Below are 19518 nucleotides of genomic sequence, written 5' to 3'. Positions count from 1 at the left end.
GTCGTCTAGATTCCCAGGAATATGTCAGAGCTTTTCAAAGTTTCAAAGATTCTCATTGCTCAGCCCTTCCTCCCAGTCTTTTTAATTGGTCTATTGTCTGCCCAACTGTTGCCCTAGACAACCTAGATAGTAGTGACTAATACATTTGCCTTTAAATGTTTCCAACAATTATCTCTGAAAGTAGTTGCCTCAGCACTGGTAAAGTTCCAAGTTAGGCAAGCTAAAAGCAAGCCCTTTGAGGTCCTCCAGGAAGCCACCAGACAGGTCAAAACAACTAACCGTAAGAATAGCCCATTCTACCCCCTCCAGGACCGTACTGGTATTGAAAATGAGGCTCTTCAAGGCTGCTGCTGAGCTGGGAGTGGATGGCGAGACTAGATTAACTTAAAATGTTACAAAGCTCTTTGACACAGATCCAGCTGTTTTTTTCTTAGTTAAGTATTCCATTTGCTGCAAGCCTTTGCTTAGTTTCTGGGGTTACAAAAAGTTGATTCCTATAATTTCTTTTGCTCTTCATTGCTTTTGTGGAGGGACAGACTTTTGGAGTCCCTTACTCCACTATTTTCCATTTGAGTATATCTATAACTTTTTAAACACCTTGCTCTATGTCAAATCATTCTTTTAATTTTTTTCTTTAAACATAGGATTTCTTTGATAAGAAATGGTGACAAACTTCCATCTCAGGATCATTTGATTGTTCAAGAATACATTGAAAAGCCTTTCCTAATGGAAGGTTACAAGTTTGACTTACGAATTTATATTCTGGTTACATCGTGTGATCCACTAAAAATATTTCTCTACCATGATGGGCTTGTGCGAATGGGTACAGAGAAGTACATTCCACCTAATGAGTCCAATTTGGTAAGTGATACCAGACAGAGCTTATCTTTTCATTCATTTGTCAACATATACTTTTTAAAGCATCCATTAGGCATATAGATTGTATGAATGAAAGTTGCTCCTCTCAGGTTTTTGTGGTCTGGAAGAATTGTGTACATAAATAAGATTGCTTTTAACTTACAGGCAGCTTTGTGGACATTAGAAAATAAAGGCATCTGCTAATTGAAGGCTAATTGGGAAAAATTACCCTCTCTGGATGCTGTGAGCACAAGGCTGGATTTCAAAGCAAACATCTGTGTGCAGTGGTCCTGTATAGAAATGACTATATTATAAATAATACTAACATGCAATGGAGAAGTACAGATTAAGTGTTTTGGAGCTGTGTTGAGACAGTTTGTGTTCAGCTTCTCATGGAGGAGGTGGCATTTGAGCAGGCTTTGTATAACATGTAGGGTGTGAACATGTTGAATGTGGGAGAAAGTATATGAAAAGGAAAAAGCAAAAGTTATCAGAAAGTAGTTATTAATTTCTGTTGCAATAAAAGAGAAGGAAGGCTGTCAACTTACATTGACCAATGTGAAGTTGAGACAAATGAGCAGTTTCAGTGTGCATTTTAAAGCCTATTAAATGGAGCTTTGTGTAGATATGTTTTCATTAAGACTTTTTTTGTGCAGCCATAACATATTTATAAAAGTTCTAGCTATAATTTATCATGAAAATAATTACTATAATTTGTAGCTTATGAAAGTTAAATTATAATTTATTATGCATACTTAAACTTTAGTTAACCTCTAAACCTATTTTTGGAATTACCTAACTATAGTTAAAATTACAATTAATTGTTTCCCAATTTGTCAAATACCTGGTTATTGTTTTCCCCTAATATTATGCACACAATTAACTCCATTAAGTGCGGTCATTTTTTCAACATTAAATAATGGCTGATCATAAATGGTACTATGTTCAATAAAATGAAAAATGTTGTAAACCTGGCAAAGGAAGAATAAGGAAACTGTCAAACTTTTCATAGGAAAAGAAGTTAAAAGAAAGAAACATTATTAAAGGTTATATGGTCTAGATAAAGCCAATCACCAAGTAATGTTTGAACTCTACTACATTCTGGGCACTGTGCTAGTTTTGGAAAAACAATGACCAGACAGATACAGTGCTTGACTTCACAGAAGCAACAGTCTAGTGGGGAGGCAGAAAATAAAATAAGCAATTATAATATCTGATGGTAAGTGTGATGGTTTAAGAAACTGAGGGTGCTGTGGCAGTGCATAGCAGGGGCACATAGCCCAGTTGGAGATAAAGGTTAGAGAGGGAGTGTTGTATAAATTGAAATCTGAATAATGAGGAGTTAGCCAGGTTCAGGCATAGGGTAGTGTTGGATGGAGCTCCAGGCAAAAGAATGGCTCAGAGGTAAGACAGAGTATGGCATGTCTGGAGAAAGCAGACAAGGTCAGTTTGGCTAAAGTATAGAATAAGAAGGAGTGGCTGTTCACAGATGAGGATGGTGAGTCCTAGAAACCAGATCTCTTAAGGCTTTGTAGGCCTTGTCTAGGATTTTAGAATTTAACTTAAGATAAAAGGAAGGATTGAAAGGTTTTACACAAATGAAAGAAGGAATGGTCCCCTGGTCTGGAATGTGAGATGGGGGTGGAGATGGATGGGAATGATTAGAGTAAGAGAGACAAGAAGTTACATATATTTTGAATAATATGTAAAGTTGTATTCTAGTCTGACCATATATGGAAGGAAAAAGGACTTAAATTGAAATAGTAGCAGTGGGTCTGGACCAAGAATAAGAGCATGGATTTGAGATATATTTAAGATAACATGGTTAACATTGATATAATATGGTCACAGGTTGGATTTGTGGAATGAGATCAAGGGAAAGGGAAATCAAGAATAAAACTCAGGTTTCTGACATCTGATGGATGGTGTATTACTCATTGTGATAAGGGAATACAGGAACTATTAAAGGTTTTGTGGAAAGCGGATGTATTCAGTTTAAAGGCCTATGTGACCTCCAAATGTATCTGTTCTGTAGGCATTTGGTTGTACAGTATAAGTTTGAAGTTCAGAAGACATTTCTGAGCTACAAACATAATTTGAGACTTGTCAATACATAGATTATAATTTAAATAATTGGCATGGGTAAGAGTGGATTATATATATGTAAGGTGGGAGTGATCTTTTTATAGTATTGGAAAGAATAAGACTTGGAAGCTCTTTTGGATGATAAAGTGCTTTATTCTAATGTCCTATGTGTATATAATTATCTTAAGTCCAGTGGGATTAATCTCAAAGAGAGATTGAGAGAAAGGAAATGTGGCCTCTAGGTCTCATTTTGCTATGTGCTCTTCAATCACGTAAGCTCCAGGCTTTGGTTTTTACATATATAGAAAAAGGATGTTCTCATACTGCAGTGTCAGTATCACTCATATATCTCTAGAATTTCATGATTGAATTTCTAGGTTGAGATATGAAAATATTAAAAAGTGAAATACAGAAGTGTCTGTAAAGTGAGACCACGGTTATGTAAAAGGTAAGTTTAGAAAAAAGACTGGAAGAATTAAACCAAAGTGCTCTCATTGGGTGTTTCTGGACGGCAGCTTACTACATATTTTTTCCTTCTTCCTATTTCAAATTTTTAAAATAGTGAGCATGTATTTTATATTGAGCTGTATTATTTCTATAAGAATTAAATGTTCATAAACTACATATAAGGAGATTATAAGACAGAATTTCAAACATTGAAATATAATAAACATTTGTTTTTGCTACCAATGTAGTGGTTGGCCAATCCTTGAAAAATTTTGTGTACACCAATTTATTATATCAAGCCTACACGCTGAAAAACAGGGTGGGCTATGGTTATATTATTTTCACTCCTTGCAGATTGCTATATGGTTCATAGCTGCTTTCGCTTCTATTTCTTGCAAATGACTAACTGGCAGTGAACTGCTTAGATGTCTATTTTTGTCAAGGTAAATGTGAAGTTGTGGAATTTCCAATCCATTTACAAAGATACTGTTTAAGAAAAATGCAAAGTTCCCTTACTTAATTTTTCACTAGAATACTAGTGTTTTTATTAGTGTTATTAATTTTAAGAAAGTCATGCCAAGTAAAGACTTCCTTACAAAATTATTTTCCAAACCTCTTTTTTAAAAGTTAAAGAAAATTTGTATTTTGGAAACCAGGAAATGCTTCAGCTTGATTAATTTCCTTTTTCTTTAAATTAAGCACTTAAAATTAGGTAAGCATAAGATTTATGCTTTTTCTTTTAAGTATCATTTAATTTAAAACTTTTCCTGTTTCATAAGGATAGAGACTGTTGTTTATTTTGTTGACTTTGTATCCGCAGTGCCCAGCGGAGATTGCTGCAGATAGGTGTTCCTTAAATATTGTTTAATGAATGAAAAAAATAAATTCTTAATCAGTGGTAGGCACATGGATTAATAAACAACATGTACCTCAAATTATCATTTCTGCCTTCTTGCTTCAAAAATTTCAATACCATAGGCCTAAGGAACTGCAGCAAAAATAAAATATGACATGAATATAGTTGGCTATTAACAAATCAAAATAATAATAATGTGAATGAAGTATATTTTAATTGTGATGTAACATTGCTCTCTCAAGTAATCTTTAGGATCATGAGGAGGGTAGGAATTAAAGATAGATTTTTATGAATGCTTGTGCTAGCTTGATAAAAAGCCATTAGATATATATTAATTGACAATTATGAGGAGTTTTAAATTTTGGATTCTTTTTCAAGTTTATTTAAGGAAAATAGTATCAACAAATGTAAGATCATAAAGAGACAAAAACATAGAACTCCAGTATGGAGGACGATACGGTACTGTACACCTGCACAGTATTATGTGGTGCATTCTGTCTGCTGACTCTAAGTGCACTGTGGTACCGAGCTAAAGGGGCCTCTCAGTCAGTATGGGTGTGCAGAGGTTGTGTTTGGTAGTCCTGCCTCTCGGCTTATGTTACTTACGTGAGTTTTCATTTTTTATTTTTCTTTGAAAAGCCATAGAATGCTCTCTCAGAAAATTCCTTTCCCAAAACAGATTTGAGTGAAAACTCTCAGAGCCAAAAACATTGAAAACAAACAAATTAACAAGAACAAACTCAGATCATTTTTCTTGCTTAGCAATATGTAGTTTCACATTTTAATTACTCTATATTCTTATTAATTTGATACTTTTTAATGGTAGATATATTTCGAATAATATGTAAAGTAACTCTGTAGATGACTACATTCTCAACCCTTTTAAGGGAAGTGTGCCATTCCATTTAATTGGGATATTATCTAAATAATCATGAGATTGTTCATCTATGTAGTTTAAACTTTAAAACTTTCTTTAGTCTTTGAGTGTCTTTTTTTCCTCTGAAACTTCGCAGTTCTAGGATGTCATAGGTGGTAACAACTTTGGTTCTTACTTGTTACAGACCCAGTTATACATGCATCTGACAAACTACTCCGTGAACAAGCATAATGAGCATTTTGAACGGGATGAAACTGAGAACAAAGGCAGCAAACGTTCCATCAAATGGTTTACAGAATTCCTTCAAGCAAATCAACATGATGTTGCTAAGTTTTGGAGTGATATTTCAGTAAGATTATGCCATTCCACAATTATAACAGTCTTTCCTCAGCAATAATTTGAAGCATTGTCAGGCCATGAAAGTTCATTAAGAGTTGATTGAACTTGGTTCCCTATAATTGAGAGGACCAGAGAGAAAAAAATCAGATCATTACACAGCCACACGCTGCCTAACAACAGCGATGCATTCTGAGAAATGCATCCTTGGGTGATTTTGTCATTGTGCAGACATCACAGATTGTACTTACACAAGCCTAGAACAGGAATAGCCCACTACACACCTAGGCTATCATATAGCCTGTATATGGTATAGCCTGTGGCTCCTAGTCTACAAACCTGTACAAAACATTACTGTACTAGGCCGGGCACAGTGGCTCACGCCTGTAATTCCACCACTTTGGGAGGCTGAGGCAGGTGGATCACTTGAGGTCAGGAGTTCGAGACCAGCCTGGCCAACATGGTGAAACCCTGTCTTTACCAAAAATATAAAAAATTAGCCGGATGTGGTGGCGCGCTCCTGTAATCCCAGCTACTCGGGGCTGAGGCAGAAGAATTGCTTGAACCCAGGAGGTGTAGGTTGCAGTGAGCCAAGATTGTGCCACTACACTCCAGCCTGGGCAACAGAGCAAGATTTTGGTCTCAAAAAAAAAAAAAAATTACCGTACTGAATAGTGTAGGCGATTGTAATACAATGGTAAAGATTGTATATCTAAACATAGAAAAGGTACACTAAAATACAGTATTATAATCTTATGTGACCTCTGTTGAATATGCTATGCATTGTACACCAAAATGCTGTTATGTGGCACATGACTCTATCCTTTGTTTATTCTGTTTGTTGACATTTTTATCTTACTTTCTATATATCACAGGCCATAAATCCAAAGGTCCTTAGGTGTCAGACAAGTAAGAAGGAGTGAAGTGGTCTCTGGATAGAAGAAACTAGGATGTTCTGGGAACTGTGATAATTTGAAAGTCAGGAGAGGTCTGAAGGAGGTAGCCACCACTCAGCAGCAGCTTATTGGTGCCAGTGATATTTTAGGCCCAGTGGGGCTCATTCTTCTAATTTGTTGATAAATTATATGTAAATGACATAAATGATTTTAAATGTTGGCAATGGACTCAAAAATTTTAAAAATGTTGGGACTCTAACAAAAATGTCATCTGGATTTGGTCAGATATCCACCAATTTGTTAACTTTCAGTTAGAGCTTCCTGAGAGATGGAATGCATGTAAATGAGAAATTGGATCATAACAATGCTGCATTTATTTGTTTATGCAATTATTTTCTCAAGGCTAATTTTGTGGACATTCCAAAAACCATTCTAATGACAGTTTACTATCATAGTGAGTCAGAAGCATCAAAATGGTAAAATTCATTAATTTTGGACCATAGTTCATTGATGGAAGATCATACTATCTTCCATCTGATGATAATTCCAATGCATTGGTCTATTGCTCAGTGGGACCAAGAAAGTTTTATATACCCTCTGGCATTCTTTTTTTTCTGTACACATTTGTAACCCTCATTTGGATTTGGCTCTTTGGGGACATGTCTGTGAAAACCTGTTGGGCTGCTTTGGTGAGGCATGTATAGAGAGAATCAGGGAGAATAATGAGGGTCATTAGCTTTACGTGTATTGGTTTTAAGTGGTGTTTTTTCCTACACAATTGAATTAAGAGAAGGTAAACGAGCAAGACTAATACTAATGAGAGGATATGGAAATTAACTTTCTGTTAGAACGTTAAGTATAATTTTTAGATATGACCCAAACATAGCCAATGTGGGCCTATTAATCTCTGACACATTTCATGGTCTTGTCTATAGGTGGGTAAATTTTGCATCATTCTTGGCTATGTTAGTTAGAATGCATATTAATCATCTATAAACAATCAGTTAATAAATCTAGCTTTTCAAGTACTTTTATTTTAATTATCTTGTCAAACACCTGTCTGCATTTATGTAATTATTTGAAAATTGGCTGTCTTTATTAAGAATTGGTATACTTTATATAGATAACTGTTTAAGGTGAATCAATGGGATAATATAAAAAGAGAATGACAGGACGAGGTGGAGAAAGCAATTATGCAGTAAATTTTTATCTTGATGTCTTAGTTTACAAATTCCCTGAATTTAATTTATAACTTATTTTTAATAACCCGGGCAATTTCTCTAAAAGGTAACTATCAATATATGAAAAGCAGCATTCATCAATACCTTCCGTGAAGAACAGAGCTCTGTACTTTTGTTCTGGTCAATAATAAAAATCAGTAGAAAATCAAGCCATGGAGATTAAAAATGAGTATAATCATTAAAAAAAAAACTATCCTTACTGCTTTTTGTATACCTAAGGTATAAATCTACAAATCACGTTTTAAAGCAGTGATATTATGTTGTAAATTCTCAAAAACAGTAGTGGAATTTCATTTGTGTTTGTTTATATGACTCCTCATTTTCACATCTACTGAAAACTTGCCTTTACAATCTAAAAGCAGGTTATTTTCTACGTAGCAAAAACACAGATTTGTAATTCAGGGTCTGTTGATTAATAATCAGTCCCCACCCCCTCTCTCAGCCCGTACTGTTCCATACAGATACTTATCAGTCAAAGTTTTAACTTTTTCTGCTCTCAAGTGGTTTCAGTAATATTGGTGAAGATTTATATAAAGTGGCTTTTTGTCTTTTATTTTATATGCTATGGTGCTGTCATGAATTTGTTAACCTTGAACAAAATTTTTTGAAAACAGCCTCTCATGGGACATCTGATACTTATTCCCAAATATAAACTGGATTGTGGTTCTGGGTAACAGTGAGGTTAACTTCTGTCTTCCCTTTTATCACCCATAGAATAAATATTGTTCCACCAGGTAGTGGAATATTTGAGTCTAACCTGATATATAAGGTGGAATTCTAGAGGAATGATAGAGTAACAGTAACAATAATAGTACTCTGGGCTCTATGCTAAGAGTCTTACATGGAATCTCATTTTTTTCTTACATTAACCTTTTGCAGATTATATTTAGGAAAAATGAGACACACAAAGTTTAAGCAACATGACTGAGGTTGCACAGCTAACAAGTTACAAAGCCAGGAAGAAACATAAGAAGCCTATTTTAGAGCCAGGTTCTTAACTGTCTTTTTCTATTGCCTATACCTGTAGAGAGGGAGTTAAAATGACAGTGTCTTCTGAGCAAAAATAAATGAGACAGCTTTTCTCCTACAGCTTATTCTGAAACTTCAGTAAAACAACTTTTTAAAAATTAGGGTTAATAACTCACCCTAGTAGTATTATGTGTTTTCTCTCAGAAAATATTGAGAGCCAGTCTTTTAATTGGTAACAGTCTTCTCAGATAAAACTTATACACTACAAAATCATCACTGAATAAAGAAACTCAACTCTCAAGATTTTGTCTTCCAGCCCTTTCAGCCTTTATCTAAGTGGAGTTTCTCTACTGGTGTTTGTGAAATAATTTACTCTCCTTGGAATTTTTCCTTCCTGTCACCCTCATCTCTTCTGGATGGGGCTAGCGTATGCTCCTACCTTACTTGTTTTTAACATATAGAAACCACATTTATCAGCTTTGTTTTACTTGTTTACAAAGTAGTAGATTTACTTGAATATCTACTAAATGCCAGCTACTATTGTAGGCACTGGGAATGGTGTTATAAATAAGTCAGACAAGGACCCTTCTCTAATGTAAAAAGAAAAATATCAGCTTGTTATATGCTGTGTGTAGTGGTGCAGTAAGAAATGAAGGGTGGCTGCTTTTAACTTGAGGGTTAGGAAGGCCTCTCTGAATGTCTAAGAGCCAGACTTGGGAATATAGGGGAAAGATTATTCCACAAGAGGGAACAGCTAACTCAAAGGACTTAAGATAGGAAGAAGTGTCACTTACTTGAGGAACCCAAAGCAAGTGTGAGGAGTGCAGTGGGCAGGGGTAAGAGTGAAGAATGAAGTCAGAGCAGTGGCAGGGGCTAGATGCCACAGAGCTTTGTAAACTTGGCCAGGCTGCCAGTTTGTGGGCCCCGGTTATATTTGCACATATGAAATGAGATACAAAGGCATTTTCACTTCTTTTATCACAATCTTATAGGAATTGGTGGTAAAGACCCTGATTGTAGCAGAACCTCATGTCCTGCATGCCTATCGAATGTGTAGACCTGGTCAACCTCCAGGAAGCGAAAGTGTCTGCTTTGAAGTCCTGGGATTTGATATTTTGTTGGATAGAAAACTAAAGCCATGGCTTCTGGAGGTAAGGCATTCTTTAAGAAAAAAGAAGAGTTATCACTGTCCTTACGTATTAAAATAAATGCTTTAAAAATGTGTACTTAACACAGTTGTCCCATTAACTGTCCAGAATGAAGGCTGAATGGAATAAGTGGGAAGAAGAGGATAAAAATTCAGGGACTAGAACAGTTCTAAGAATGAATCACAGTGTTTGATATTACTTTTCCCAAATTAGCATCAGCTGAGTTTCTAGGCCAGGTATTTGGGATTGAAGTGTGGAGGTGCTTTTACTGTTTTGTTGCTTACTTGCTCTACTATTTTCTCAGCCTCCTGGCTTCTACCACATCATGAGTTCTGGATAGTGTCTCTCCTCTCTGTGAGTGCCTGGGCTTCAGGATCTTGCCTTCAGTGTGTCTCCCCTTCAGACTCTCCGAGAGGCTCCAATTGGTTCATTAATCAGTATTCAGTATTCGATACCCCAGGTGGTAAATTTCTCCTTTAAGGCCATGTTATATACCTGGGGCTTCCCTCAGGGAGACTGTCAACTGTATGCCTTCAGGTTTGCTGCCAGTCCCTGGTAGGGTGAGAGTTACCATTATTTTTCTTGGATGATAAAAGGTCATGTAACACATACAGAATAGTAAAAAGGAGAAAGTAAAAATTATCTCTGTTGACAATTTTTATATTTTTTCCTGCTAGTTATATTTATATTACCCAGAAGAAACCTTAGAAGTCACGTGGTCCAGAAGATCCCATCCAGCAGTTCCCTTTAAGCTCCTTGATCTGGGTTTACACACCTTCTCGTGGCCGCTTAAATATCATGTTTTGGAAACGTAATCAGGAACATACAGCTGTAGAAGATGTAGTCAACCACTACCTTTCATTTTAAATCAAGTATCTCTCTTTTTGTTAGTGATTTATAAGTTAGAAGTTGTGTGTGTAATATCAAGGTTTGCATAAGCAAATTAAATGAGTGGTAGGTGAGATGATACTAAAAATACATTTCAAAGAAATGACACTTTTCTAATTTGAGGGCCAAAGATTGTGTGTGTGTGTGTGTGTGCGCGCGCCTATGTGTGGTCACATCTACTTTAAACAGTAACATGTATTGTGTCTCCAAGGAAATGCAGTTCTCTCTGTTGGATGTTCATATTTTGCTCCAGCCTGGGTCTTAGAGATAAGATAAATGTGAGGAAGTTTTACTTATCCTTTGCTTCCTCCGTTCCTTGGATATGAAAACACTTGACTATGCACTATGGACCCTTCATCTTGCTAAGGCCTGAAGTTTTCTTTAGATTTCTTACTTTTTCTGCAGCAGTCCTTTCCTGTTCTTAGCTATATTGTCTTCTGCCCCTGTTACTTTTCTTTTGTCATTGATGGAGTGGGGAAAAAGTGAAGGCACATGCATAAGGAGGATAGTAGGAAATAATGACTTTATAGATATCTTAGTTACCTTTTTAGAAGAAACATTTGCTTCACTAGAGCTTTCCATTAGCTTGCTAAATCAGAATTGACTGAATGGTTGAATTCTGGATTTTAAAAGATTCAAAATAACCATTGTTTGCATGAATGTTTCTTCATTCTTTACTCTTTCCTTCGTTGTTTCTAGATCAATCAGAACCATTAAAACACTCCACAATAACCAAGAGCTGTGAATAATGAACATTTGTTATATTAAAACAGTTAAAAGAATCTTCAATCTTGCCTTGTGTTTTGCTCCCTGCTGATATTTTGGTGGGGCTAATATACATTGTTAAAAACCTTTTGGCGCCATCAAGTGGAATAAGGTAGAAGGTGCTTCTGGGTATGTGATAACTTTTAGTTAACCAGAATAATTTCAGGGACTGATTGCTAGTGGCAGAATTGCACAAATTTTCATAAGTAGAAAACATTTTTTTAGGAAAAACATGGAACTTTGGTGGAGTATGAAGATACCACCAATAGTTTTAAGTACTCTTAAATTAAACAGGAACCTACTAAGTTATAGTCATTGTGTTAGGTGGTGGGAATATAAGAAGACAGAATACTTGCCCTGGTGTAGCCATTATTCAGATGTGCATTTTATGGTAATAGTTATAAGTACTAGTAGGTAAAAGGGAAATGACAAAAACAATAGCATGATTAATATCTCTGTGTACCTGTGTGTATCGGAGAGTTAAAAAGAATCTTTACAGAAGAAACACCTGAGCAAAGATTGTAGGGCTACAGAAGGTTGGGGTAGGGGCTGGGGGCTGAGAGAGATAAAGTAGGGGTGGGGAAAGGCTGTGGTGCAGAGGGAACAGCACTAACTTAGGAGCACAGAAGCTATTATGGATACTTTAATTTGTGGAAAAAGTGATTGTTTTGATAAAACTTTTTAGGACAGTTGAAAATAGTGTTTACTAATATATATTTTATAATAATTTTCATTTCTTAATGCATTTACAAGCTGTTGAATTTTGAGACTTTAACATCTATGTTTTGTCTGTTTTAGAATTGGGGTAGGAAATGAGAACCAAATAAATCATCTCATTATAGAGGAGAATTTTGGCTGGGTGGAACACTAATTTTTAGTTTCTTCTGTCAGCCATTTGTGGTTTTTCTTTTATTTTTTTTCTTTACCTTTCTCATAAAACTTAAAAAAAAAAAAACAAGAACAACCCTGAATGAAAACCTAAATTGAAAAAGGTTTCCTGCCTTTCCACATATTATTAATAGTTTATCTTGTGTGGGTATACCTCTTCATAGACCAATTTATCTTATAGTAGAGGGAAAAATTTGAAATAGGTAAGGAGAGAGAGAGAGATTGAGATCTGAGATGGCTTTATACCAAGACCTCAGTACCATCCTGGAGGAGGGATATGCCTGGCACAATTCCACACTGAAATTTGGAATGGAAACTCTGAGGAATTCTACAAAGACAGATAACATGCCAATGGACCACTGACTCATCAGTTCTTTAATGTCTGGTTTAGTTTATAACCATGTCACATATAGTGGCAACACTGTCATTAGTTGTATTATAAACTCCAGAAATTTGAATCAGTATGGTTGAAACTTTTCTCCCATAAAATATATTACTTTACCCTTTCTTTGCACTTGCAAAGGGAAATGCTTAGAGCTTTCGTAATAGATTAATAAACTCCCTTTCTCAAATTGACCTATAATAAATGGATGTTATTGCCGTTTTCAAGCTATTTCCTTCTCCTTGAGACTATATCACAAATAAAGGAATGTGTCCACCACCTTTTAAATCAGAAATCAACAAAGGAATCAAAATACAACATGGCATATCTCTATAAAAGGAGTACCATGCATCCATCAAAATGATGGCATGATGAAAGATTTTCATGATACATTATTAAGAGAAAAGCTTGGAATGTAAAATAAAGTATGGTTAGTATAGACATGCATTTGGAAGGTAAAATGAATATTTTAAATATGTATACATAGAAAATATCTGGAATACTATCTACCAAACGGTTAACACGACACTAAGTGTTAAGTAGTGGGATTACAGGTATCTTTTGTTATTTGTTTTCCTTAGTTTTACTTATTTTTCTGCGGTGAACCTGTGACACATTTCTAATTAAAGATGTTGTATTCCTGGGTAATTTCTTGATTATAATGTGATATTTCTTCAGGTGCAAGTTGTGGAATGAATGCTTTCAATTGTTTTGTCTCTTGTGGTGACAGATGTGTATAACTGTGACTAGTAGCATATATACATATGTTTGAGATAGCCTAAGGGATTAGTTGGTGGTCAAGAAGCTAAGCTGTTGTGTTGAACTCAGCAGTGTTCTAACCAACCGATTTAACTGATTAAGAAATTTTCTTAAACATCAGCTATTCCAGTTATATTTTTATAACAATGACAATAGTAACAAGACTCAACAAAGACAAAAACAAACACTCCAGCTCTTTTATTTTTCATCTTAATGAATTCCTGAAGATCTGAGGCAGTGAAAAGGGAGCACTGATAGTTTCCATATTTTAAATATATAGATGTATATAATTATTATTGTGTTGATATAATTATTACTGTGTTGGTAACATGATGAATATCACTATTTCCTTTTTGTTAGGCTAAATCACTTTTAACTTTCCTAAACTTAAAAAACCTAAATTGCATGGGGTAGTGGAGAGAGTGGAATGGAGGGAGAGGCCAGCCTATACTGACAGTAAAGCTCCTAAACTAAGGCAGCCTTGGGAAGGAGATGGTGCTAATAGTCAATCCCTTGCAATTTGTTGACCTAGGGTGATGCAGAATGGAGATGTGGCAATAACAACTGGGCCATCTGCCATGTAAAGCTTTGAGGTTTAATGTAGAGTTGTTCTACTGGCTAGAGATCCCACATTGGATTAACAAATATGTATTGAATATTTATTTACCTTCCAATATTGTCTTCTTTGTAAATTTCAGATTAACCGAGCCCCAAGCTTTGGAACTGATCAGAAAATAGACTATGATGTAAAAAGGGGAGTGCTGCTAAATGCGTTGAAGCTACTAAACATAAGGTAAAATACTCTCTCTATCTTTTGGACATTTATCTCCACATTTGACATAGATTAATCATTTGTACATAAAATTGGCTTTTCAGAATAGTATATTTATTTTTATATTTTATAATTTTCATTTCTTGATTCCATCCATTTTGTATTTTTCATTTCTTGGTTCCATCCATTTTGTATTTTTCATTTCTTGATTCCATCTATTCTTTAAACTCATATAGTTAAAAAAAAAAATCTGTCCCCCCTACTCCTGTATACTGCTTTTCCTGCTTCCCAGGCAACAGTCTGTACCTGCAGTAAATGAGGTTAAATTTCAATGTAGGTATAATTATTTAATATAGAGTACAAGATTAAATTGGTAAATACTTTAAGAGACCCTCTAGATTATCTTCCTCATCTTATAAGAAGAAACTAAAGCACAAAGAGTTCATTCAGGAAATTAAAAAAAAAACTCAAACATGGATTTCCTAACTTTCTCTCCAGAGGTCTTCCCATTACATCATGCTCCCCATGTAAATAAAAAAGAGAGGCAGTTGTTTAGTGAGAGTTAACTTTTCCATTTAGAGAGGCAAGTAAAATTTGAGAAAAAACTTGGCTGGTAGGGATGTAGGGCTGGTTGCAGTGTACATGATCATGGGATTCAAATATTTGAAATGCTGTTATGTGGGAAAAGCTTTTGGCTCATTACAAAATGAATTTTTTAGATGTTTGACTGAAACACTTCCTGAAATAGTGAGTTACCTGTCATTAGAAATTTTCCAACAGAGCTTAGAGTATTGGATTAAAGGGCCTCTGAGGTGATTTAAGCTCAGTGATTTTATGATTTCAATTTATTTAATTGTCATTCAAGAGTTCTAGCAGAGTTATGGTATGCTTCCAAGCAATTTTTAAATTTAAGATGTTTCCAAACAATATGCCTATACATGTTTTTTGCATGAAAGTTTACTATTATTATTTAAATAAGCCTTGTGTTTAGTTTTTTTGTTGTGTGTGCATGTCTTTTGACGTTGCCATTTATGGTATCAATTCAGGACATTATCTGTGGGTGTTCTGGTGTTTTTAAAAGTGAGGTATGTATAGTTTAAGCAGTCAGAAATTTCTAGACTTAAAACTAAGGGAAAGTAGAAATTCATTTTCTTTATCTTTCTTAGTGTTGTTCCACAGAGAATTTAGCACAGTTCTTAACATTTAGAGCATATGCTAATGAGGCTTATGCTTCAGAAGTGCCTTCTTCCTCCAGCTGGGTGGAGAGCTCCATGGGTGCATGTGTTAGACTTGAGTTTCACTGGGCACATCACAGTATCTTAAGCAGGAACTAAGAACACTGGGAAAATTCTTGTCTATTTATTAAATAGAATTAATTTTCTTATGGAGTGCTTTAATTTTGGACAGAACGAATTGTTCTGTGAATCTAGAAATCCCCTACTTAACATTAATTTTAATCAGACTATTGGGAATGATCTTACTTTCATTATGTTATCTTTCTGCTCAAGAACCTAAATAGAATTCTGTTTACCAACATGTAGCCTAAGCTTCTAATATAACTTAACCTTAGCTGTTCTATCTTATTTCCTGTTTCTCTCCAACCCAAACTGTTTTAGTTAGGCTGATTGCCTCATTATTTTTCCCACATAGCTTGCCCATTCTCACTGATTATTTATTCTGTTCTCTACTCTGAATGCCTTTCCTTATTGCTTGTGACTCAAATCCCATCTTTTATTATGAAGTCTTCCTTTTGACCAAAATGAATCTTTCCTTTCTTGGAGCTCTAGAAGGAACTTTTGTCTGCATAGTATATGGCTTATCACTTTGTTTACTCTCTTATCCTCTGTGGTGTTTTACCTGGGCACAGCTGGTTTTTCTTTTCAATTAGATTTAAGCTCCTTGAAGTTGAAGAGTACATACTTTTACATGCTTCACAGTGCTTAGTACAGTGCTTTGCTTACAGTATGACCTTCAGGTTCAATTTGTAAACATATGCTTTTAGTCTCAAGGAAATTCAGAAGAATATAAATTGTTCAGGATATTCCATCACAACTGCTGTGAAAACAGAATCTCACATGGAGGGCATCAGAATTGATCCTTTTTTTTTACTTGGATGACAGAATGCAATTTGAGTACAGATTCAAATAATTTTTTAAAACATTAGGCTTGGGGTCCTCAGAGACAAGAAAATATAAAAAGGGTTATATGTAGAACAAGTAAAAGTTCTTTTTTCTCTAATAAAAGGAAAATCCAATCATTCTGTGATGGTTTTACTGGGTTAATAAGAAGAATCTTTTTCCTCCATAAGTATTCTATTACAATCATTAAAATAGAACCTAGAAAAGACATTCACAATCCCATGAATCCTTGGGTCTGAAATACTTGTTAATTAGATTAAATTAAATTAAGTTAAATTGCCTGTCTGTCCCTTATTTACAACTAACTCATGGGCTACAGGCTTGCAGCATGAGCATTTAATGCTACCCTACCATTGAACATTTAGCCTCACTGGCCTTCTCTGACACTAGTCTCTGAGTTTACTTAACTTTGAGCATTCCTTAGTCTTCTCTTATGATTTCTCTTACACTCTGCTCCCTACCCATCATTTTCTCACTGTGTTCTTGCCTCAGCCCTCTTTTCTTCTGTGTCAGTCTTACTCCCTTTTGTGGCATCATTTTTGAGTCTGACATGTATGTAGCAATATGGATTGGAGTGCCTCTCGCTAGCTTTGACCCACTCTGGAGCTCTAGTCCAGCATTTGCAGCTCTCTGCTGACCATGTACCCTGGATGCCCTGGTCCGATAGATACTCAATAAACATGTAGTGAGTGAGTGAGCAAGTAAATAAATAAATGAATGAATGGATGGATAGTGTTCTGTTAACACTTAAATTCAATATTGCCCAAGTTGAATTATTTTCTCCTTCGATCATGTTCCTCCTGGGTTTATTATTTTTTTCTCTGCTAACAATATCAAATACCTCCAACCCACAAAGGTTAAACCTAATCACTCATATGTATTTACTGGATTTTTTTTTTTTTTTTGAGACAGAGTCCCAAAAGAGACTGGAGTGCAGTGGCGCGCTCTTGGTTCACTGCAACCTCCATCTCCCAGGTTCAAGCGATTCTCCTGTCTCAGCCTCCCGAGTAGCTGGGATTACAGGCACCTGCCAGCACTCCCGGCTAATTTTTGTATTTTTAGTAGAGACGGGGTTTCGCCATGTTGAGCAGGCTGGTCTTGAACTCCTGACCTCAGGTGATCCACCGCCTCGGCCTCCCAAAGTGCTGAGATTACAGGTGTAAGCCACTGTGCCCAGCCTACTGGACATTTTTAAAGAGCCTATGATTTGCTAGAAGCTAGAGATACAAAAGTGAATAAAATTTCCCCACCTTAAGTAGCTCAGTTGTTAAAAGGGAAATATATATGCTCATAGATAAGTACAATACAATGGTAATTATCCAGTTTGCTTTGCCAAAGTTAATGGCAAAACGATTCACATGAAAGTCCAGGCTAGAAAGCTGGGAGTTATACTTGACTTTATTATGAATCGACTGAATCCTGTCAAATTTCTGACTATCACTTTATTTCTCCATCTCCTCTCCAAGGCTGAAAACTTCTTATCTTTCTCCTGGGCTATTTTATTGGTTTCCTTCCTGCTTCCAGCACTAACCTCCATCCCATTTTGCATCTTCCATTCTGTCATTCTGCAAATCATTCAACAACCATTTATTCCGAGTCCACTACCACTGCAATAGGTACTGGGAATTCAGTGCCTCCTATGATTCCTAGGCTTCTGGGTTGGATGACTTGTCTGATGATGTGCCATTCATTGGGATGAAGATTATAGGTGAGAAAGAGGCTTAGAAAAGTAATGGGGGAAGATAGAAAAAGAAAGATGATTCAGTTTTAAACATGCTAATTTTGGGATGCTTTGAGACAATGTTAACTGGAAAATTTGATATACAGGGCCCCAGGAGATAGAGGTATCTATTTGATTGATATTCATATATAGATTGCCCTTGAATCTAATGGATGAGATCACACAGTTGGACTGTATGTTTTGAGAAGAAGGGCAGCGACAGAACCCTGAGGGATGCCAGTATCAGAAGAGATTTATAAGCTCTGATACTCTGATCAGATTGTTTCCACATTGTCTGATAAAGTTTAAACTCCTTAGAATTATGTACAAGGCACTTTTTGATCTTTATATTATATACAAGGCACTTTTTGAGCTGGCCCTTACATCTCTTTCCAACCTCATCATTTCTTGTTCTTTTTCCTTTGCCTTGGAAATGACTTTTCTAAGAACTCTTTTGTGGTACAGTTTCAAATTTCTGTAGCTTTGCACTTGTTCTCATTTAATATTTGTTCACCTTTGTCTTTTTGGTGAATGCCAACTGACTTTTTTAAATTGTGGTAAAATACCCTTAACATAATATTTACCATTTTAACCATTTTTAAGTGTATAATTCAGTGACATCAAGTACTTCACATTGTTGTGCAACTATCACCACCATCCATCTCTGGAAGTCTAATCCTGCAAAAGTGAAACTGTGTACCCATTAAACACTAATTCCTCATTCCTCCCTCTCCCCAGTCCCTGGAAACCATCACTATATTTTGTGTCTCTATGAATTTGAGTGTCCTACTCTCAGTATCTCATAAGAGTGGAATCATATGTATTTGTCCCTTTGTTACTGGCTTAAAGTAACTGGGATAATGTTTTCAAGTTCTTCAATGTTGCATCATGTGTCAGAATTTCCTCCTTTTTAAGGCGGAATAACATTCTGTTGTATGTATACGAATACCACATATTTTGTCGGCACATTCGTAAAACCTAGCTCAAGTTTGACATTCTATTTGAAGCCTTTGCTGAGACAGAATGGTTTACTAACTCCTTTGTGCTATCATCATACTTCCCCCCACATTTCAAATAGTACTCATCATACCCTGTGTTTTTGTTTATATGCCATTGCTCCCACTTCCTTTATTTGGTCAGCTCCTCGAGGGTAATGGCCCTGTCTGGTTCTTTTTGTATCCCCAGGGCCATATCTGGAATTAACAAATAGAGAGTACTAAATAAAATTTGGGTTGGAAGACAATGGTATGGGGAGGGCATTCCATTCAACTACTTGTAGAAAGATGAGGAAGTGAGACAGAGCAAAACAAGCTCATAGAACTTCTAGTGGTTCCACATTCCTGGAGTATACAGCACGTGAAGCAAGTGATCAGAGAAATCCCTTGGATGGAATTATAAGGTAATAAGTAGTGGAAAAGACTCAAGAAAGTGGTAAACTAAATTGCTTAGGTCAGTATATGGATACAGTTGAATGGAAAATGCTAATTAAATGC

At 35.7% G+C, this 19518-nt stretch overlaps 1 protein-coding gene across 8 annotated transcripts in view; it reads left to right on the top strand.

The window, feature by feature from the left end:
* Positions 1–19518, top strand: part of TTLL7 (tubulin tyrosine ligase like 7) — a 134109-nt gene that overhangs the window by 55809 nt on the left and 58782 nt on the right. For 7 of the 8 annotated variants that reach the window (XR_007063701.1, NM_001350215.2, NM_024686.6 and 4 more), the window contains 4 exons: positions 645–861; positions 5308–5472; positions 9558–9716; positions 14094–14188. Coding sequence is in view for 7 of the 8 variants with exons in the window: in NM_001350215.2 (NP_001337144.1) it covers positions 645–861; positions 5308–5472; positions 9558–9716; positions 14094–14188 (636 nt within the window). In the remaining variant the exon portion in view is untranslated. The remainder of the gene's footprint in view (positions 1–644; positions 862–5307; positions 5473–9557; positions 9717–14093; positions 14189–19518) is intronic. The other variant, XM_047430691.1, reaches the window with a different exon arrangement.

Source organism: Homo sapiens, chromosome 1, assembly GCF_000001405.40.
Source record: "Homo sapiens chromosome 1, GRCh38.p14 Primary Assembly".
In the NCBI taxonomy this organism is placed as follows: domain Eukaryota; kingdom Metazoa; phylum Chordata; class Mammalia; order Primates; family Hominidae; genus Homo; species Homo sapiens.
The sequence above is the reverse complement of the archived record's forward strand: the minus strand, read 5'-3'. Positions and strand labels throughout refer to the sequence as shown.